Source organism: Homo sapiens, chromosome 8 (assembly GCF_000001405.40).
Source record: "Homo sapiens chromosome 8, GRCh38.p14 Primary Assembly".
Taxonomy (NCBI): domain Eukaryota; kingdom Metazoa; phylum Chordata; class Mammalia; order Primates; family Hominidae; genus Homo; species Homo sapiens.
This window is the reverse complement of record NC_000008.11, coordinates 27,125,572-27,131,920: the sequence shown is the minus strand read 5'-3', so window position 1 is coordinate 27,131,920 and position 6,349 is coordinate 27,125,572. Positions and strand designations below refer to the sequence as shown.

The 6,349-nt window shown below is 38.1% G+C and overlaps 1 annotated feature.

The window, feature by feature from the left end:
* Window positions 3,082-3,282: a silencer, noted in NCBI's record as "peak6966 fragment used in MPRA reporter construct". NCBI's record gives its function as "represses an SCP1 promoter by STARR-seq MPRAs in K562 erythroleukemia cells {active_cell/tissue: K562}" and the evidence as "EXISTENCE:reporter gene assay evidence [ECO:0000049][PMID:32103011]".

The following is a 6,349-nucleotide window of genomic DNA, read 5'->3' as shown; positions in this document are numbered from 1 at the left end:
TCTATGTATAAGAAAATGCATAGGAATCTATTCCTATTAAATAATAAGTAGTAAATATATATTCACATTTTTTTTTGAGACGGAGTCTCACTCTGTCGCCCAAGCTGGAATGCAGTGGTACGATCTCCGCTCACTGCAAGCTCCGCCTCCCGGGTTCACACCATTCTCCTGCCTCAGCCTCCCGAGTAGCTGGGACTACAGGCGCCTGCCACCACGCCTGGCTAATTTTTTGGATTTTTAGTAGAGATGGGGTTTCACTGTGTTAGCCAAGATGGTCTCAATCTCCTGACTTCGTGATCTGCTTGCCTTGGCCTCCTACAGTGCTGGGATTACAGGCGTGAGCCACTGTGCCCGGCTTCCATTTGCTTACTTTTCTACTGCAGCATTCATCTTTTTCTTTTTGATTTGTGAGACTCTGTATATTAACCTTTTTGAGCCAAATATTGTAAATATGTTCCAATTCTTACTTTACCTCTTAATTTTCTTTATTGCACTTTTGCTAAAGCAAGGTTTTAAATTTGTATCTATCTAAATCTTTTAATATTTTATTTACAATTTTTGCCTTTGGTTTTCTCACCCCAAGATTATGAAAATATTCATCTAAATTTTTGAATAGTTCTTTTATTGTATTTACTTAACTTTTCATAATTGATTGTTTAGTTTTTGGAAATTTATTATGGTAACTTGATGTAAAATAAGAATCCATATTTTTTAAATAACTAATGATCAAGATCAGTTTATTTAGTCGTTCATCCTTATGCTACTGACCTTAAGTCCACCTTTATCATGTACTCTATATGTTTGGGTCTATTTCTAGGATTTCTTTTCTGTTGCTTTAATTTGTTTGTCTAGTGAGAGAAAGCCATTGCTTTCATCATCATAGACTTAAAATATGTCTATACATCTGCTAGTGTAAGTTCTCTTTCATCATTCTCTTTCCCCTAAAGGTTTCTGGTTATTTTTGCTCAATATATCTACAAATTATATCTACAAATTAACTACAAATTAACAATATATCTACAAATTAACTCTAGAATCCCTTTATTAGAATTTGATTAGCATTGCATTAAATTTATACATTAATTTAAAAAGAACTCTTATCTTTTAAATACTAGATGCTCCAATGCAGAAGCATAATCTATTTCTCTCTCTCTCTCCCTTTCTCCTTCTCTCTCTATCTCTCTCCTCTTCTCCTTTTTCCTCCTCCTCCTCCTTCTTCTCCTCCTCTTCTATCTTAATACTGGTACAGTATATTTCTTGTTCAATTTACTCTTGTCTAGTTTATACATAGTATTGCCATTGTGAATAACAGTTTTTCTTTGTATTTTTTATCTCGTAAGTATTATACTGGGAAAACTTTTTGCACATTTATTTTGTAATTGCCAACTATCAAATTTTTGTTTAAGTTTTTATACCTTTTCAGTAGATTTCTTTGGAAGTTCTAGGTTAACAATATTGTTATTTGTGGTTCATAATAACTGCCTTTTCCAAAGAGTTTTTTCTCTTACATACTTGTCTCCTCATTGCAATGAGCAGAATTTCCAGAACAATGGTAGCTAGTGGAGGTCGTGATGCTCTTGTTGCTTAATGGTTTGTTTAGTTGGGGATATTTGCAGCGGCGTATTTTAGGCTGCCTTGAGTTGTCTTCTTCTGCCACCACCATTGTCTCCCACCCCTCCATCATCACCCCCGCACCATCATCTCCTGCCCCTCCATGTGTCCTGCAGCTGGAATGACTGACCCAGGCTCTACTTCTTTCTTTTTTCTTTGATCTTGTTGTTGCTGTTTTTGAGACACAGCCTCACTCTGACACCCAGGCTGGAGTGCAGTGGTCATGATGGCTCACTTGCAACCTTGACTTCCCAGGCTTAGGTGATTCTCTCGCCTCAGTTCCCTGAGTAGCTGAGACTACAGGCATGCGCCACCATCCCCGGCTAAGTTTTGTAGGGACAGGTCTCACTGTGTTGCCCAGGCTAGTCTCAAACTTCTGGGCTCAAGGGATCCTCCTGCTTCGTCCCCACAAAGTGCTGGGATTTTAGGTGTGAGCTCCTGTGCCCGGCCTCTACTTCTTAACTTCTATTCCTTGCTTCTCTCTCTATGCATTGCAGGGCCCTCATCTTCCTTTATGGAAAGGGCCTGTCTTATTAAAGAGACTTAAGGAAAGCCCAACCACAGTGCATCTTCTTTTGTAGAGTGCAGCATCACCAGCAACTCCACCCTGGGCTTGCCAAAAGAACCCAGCCCCCTAGGCACTCCTGCTCCGTGGCACCCATCTCAGCCTAGGCCTAGAAGAGTGAGATGACATGAAGGGCAAGGCTATCAGATGTCCAGTGGCTCTTGGCCATAAGAATGCTCCATTTGCCCTCTAACATGCAGCTTTCAAAAGCTAGGCTTTTTGAAGTCTAATTTACCTATCATAAAATTCACCTATTTCAGCATATAGTTCTATGAATTTTGACAAATGCATATAGTTATGGAACCACCAGCATAATTGAGATACAGAACACTGACATGCATTTTTAAAAACAAGTATTTTGATTTTTTTCTGATTTACATAATAACTGTCCTAGTGCTTTGCTTTGTCTTCATGAAGAAAAAGTCAAGTTGCAAAATTTGAACAAATATATTTTCCTCCTACCCAAATTCACATGTATACAGGATCTATAATAAGACAGTGAAAGAACAAAGATGTAGTTATCTGCCTTTCCATTGGGAAAGGCATGGCCAAGTTTATAACAGAAATGAGCCAGCAGCTACTTGAAAATTCAACAGAATGAGTTTTGGAGTTGGAAATAGAAGCAGAGTAGAAACATATGCAGCCACATCAGGCATGGAGTTACACTGCCCACATATGTGTTTCCAACCTCAAGATAAATGCCCTCAGTCACAAAGGAGCAAGTTTAGCTTTCTTCCTTACAGCTTCCTACCTGTGTCTATATTCAGTGGTCTCAGACCACCAGATGATCTGTCTTATAGCCCAGAACATGATGTAATGGGGAGAACATCTTATCTAAGCTCTCAGGCAGAAGGACTTTTATTATTAAAATACAACCCCTTTGCTTAGCAACTGTCACTATATCTCTTGGAGCACACTCTCTAAGTTCCAGTTTCAATCTAAGGTGTAGCTTATCCAAGGCCATCAGGCAGCATAATGATGATTAATAGTCACTGGAGCCTAATATATCATCTTCCTTTTCTGCCCTAAGTTTTTAGCACTCAACAGTTCAGACAATTCTATGATGACTCAAATAGTAAACCCATGATCAGTTTAGAACTGATCACGAACTGCACTGGGCCAAAATCCTAGACATCTGATATACCTGGAAGAACAACAGAAAAGCTCTCCCCACCAGGCTCTAGTATTTCAGTGGTTAACAACATGAGAATAGGTTGTTGAATCTCTCTTTTGACTCATTTCCACATCTGGAATATGCAATGATGAAAATACTACCTACAATCAAAGACTTGTTGCATAGAATAAAAAGATAATATGTGAGATAGTGAAAAATGGTGCTGGCAGTCAGGCTGTGATGGTCCTAACAGAATGTAAACATACTCCCGGAAGACAAGCAAAGCTCAGAAAAAGCCATTCCAGGATCATGAGTAAACAAGCCAGACATAAGGCCACTCTACAACCACAAAATGACTAAACAGCCCCCTCTTCCAACTTACGCATTGGTTACTGCTTGTTTACTTGTTTGCTTCTTAAAGTAAAAATCTTCATTGCTATTTGAGCTGAAAACGTCATAGAAAGTATTTATTCTTGCCTTGAACCATAGCTTCATAATGCACCATGCAAATGTGTGTTACTGCTCCTTATCAATGCCAACTTGTTCTCATCCTCCTGCCTCCAGATAAATATTATGATGACCCATCACCAAATTGTTTTTACTTCTAGACAAAATCCAATCCAGAACTGGCCCCCACTGCCTTAAACTCTCATTAGAATCACCTAGAATGCACTGAAATCTACAAGAAGCCCCCACCCACTCTCTCTTACTGAGATGTCTAACGTGTCCTATGGGGTGCATTTCCCCTTGTGGAAGAAAGCTAAACTAACTTACCTTTTCTGTAGTGAGCAAAGTGTGTTATTTGTGCAGTGCCTTTTTGGCTACTCAGAATCTGTTTTATTTCTAATAACACATCTAATTTGGCAGACTCTTATTGTCAGCCAGCCAGCCCCTCTATCTCATTAGGCTTTCTCAATCCCCAGATAGAGCTATTTGGGGAATTTCCATAGTAAGCCAAAGAGACTTCTGGTTCTAAATGGTGCCTGGCTAACAGCCTCAAATCAACCTTTCCAAACCCCTTGCTGAGATGTCCACAAAGCCAAAGGAAAGCCAGTTACAAACGAAGACTGACAACTCAATGCCAGAATCTTGGAAGAAGTGACAATAATTATAAAGCAGATGGAGCCGGGCTGAGAATAACCCACCATGCTTTTACTAACGGCACACTCAGGCTTGGCTCGCAAATTAGATACCATCTGCAAAAACAGAGATGAAGATGGTTCGCACCTCCTGAACAAATGTTCTCTGGCTCATGAACCCAGGCTCAGAGGGACTATAAAATAGGCAGACAGGTGTTCTCTATCCCATGTAGGCTTCTCTGGAAATTACCCGAGTTTCATGGTCCTGTTCTCATCTCCACCTGTCTGCAACCCACCACCTTTCTAAATTCAGGCAGAGATGGAAAATTCCAAAAAACACTAGAGAAGACAAGGGAGGGGGTGAGAAGATGGTGAAGGAGGTGAGAGACTAGGGATGTTGTACCCAGGGAATAAGTGAGGAACCAGAAAGGGTCTTAGCAACAGTGCATTCTGGGGGTTGTAGTTTACATGCATTACATTTGCTGTATACAAGAACGTCCATGGAGGCACAGGCAGAGAATAGTAGAACTTTTATTTCTATTTAGTTTTTGTTTAAAAATTTTAAAAGAAATTAAGTTAGTTGATAACAATAAATCCATATTGTTTCACTAACTGATGTATCATGTGTAATGAACAAGATTAACAATGGGGAAAGTAAGTGAGGGATATATGAGAACTCTCCTCTGTCTTCTCAATTTTTCCATAAATATAAAACTGTTCTGAAGATAAAAATCTGTCAAAATACTTGAAAATAAAGAAACTAAGATTTATTAATATTTAATGTGCAATAATACTTGCACCCCAATTTATGCTATATGTCAGATGATCATTGTCACTTCCCATAAATGAGGGAGAAGTAGAAATTCAACAACATGGAGGATTGACAGAGGCACCTTCACTAGGTCACTTATTTCTAGCATTTGGCAATGTTTTGTGGTTTATGCATGCTTAATTAAATATGTGAATTGCAACATCTGGTTTTATGTAAGCTAATATTCCCAAAATGATAAATGAGTTGAAAAGACTCCTGCAAAGAAAACATGGGTTACGTGTAACACTAGTAATGTTAGCATAAATAACAAGAAAATGGCAGAAGTGACTCCTCGTTTGGCTCACATAAGTAAAAACAGTGCTTCAAGAAAACCATTCAAAATATTATTAATGATAAATTTTGTCCATTATTACCTAAAACATTATGAATCATAAAACTTTTCCTATGTGTTTATTATACCTTTCATATAAGCTAATTAAATATAAAACTACCATCATTAGCAAGACATTTAAAAACTTTGTCTTAACCAAGACATAAAGACAAACTTCTACATCTTTCTCGGTGATGTTTAAAGTCCTGCCTTATGCAATGTGGAACATCATTAAAGTGTACTAAGCATATTCATACATATTTGGCATCTGCTTTTGAGGTTTCTGACTTAATAAACACAGTCTTATGTCATACAAATGGCCAACAGAAATATTAAAAAATGCTCAACATCACTAATCATCAGAAAAATGCAAATCAAAATCACAATGAGACATCTCACCCCAGTAAAAATGGCTATTATCAAAAAGACAAAAAAATAACAAATGCTGACAAAGATGCAGAGAAAAGAAAACTCTTACCCACTGTTGGTGGGAATATAAATTAGTACAGCCATTATTAAAAACAGTATGGAGGTTTCTCAAAAAACTAAAATTAGAATTACCATATGATCCCGCAATTCCAATGCTGGCTATTTTTCCAAAGGAAAGAAAAGTATATCAAAGGGATACCTGCACCCCCCCGCCATGTTTACTGCAGCACTATTCACAATAGCCAAGATATGGAATTAACCTACATGTCCATCAGTGGATGAATGGATAAGGAAAATGTGGTACATATACACAATGGAATATATTCAGCCATAAAAAAGAATGAAATCCCGTCATTTGTGGCAACATGGATGGAACTGGAGGTCATTATGTTAAGTGAAATAAGCAAGG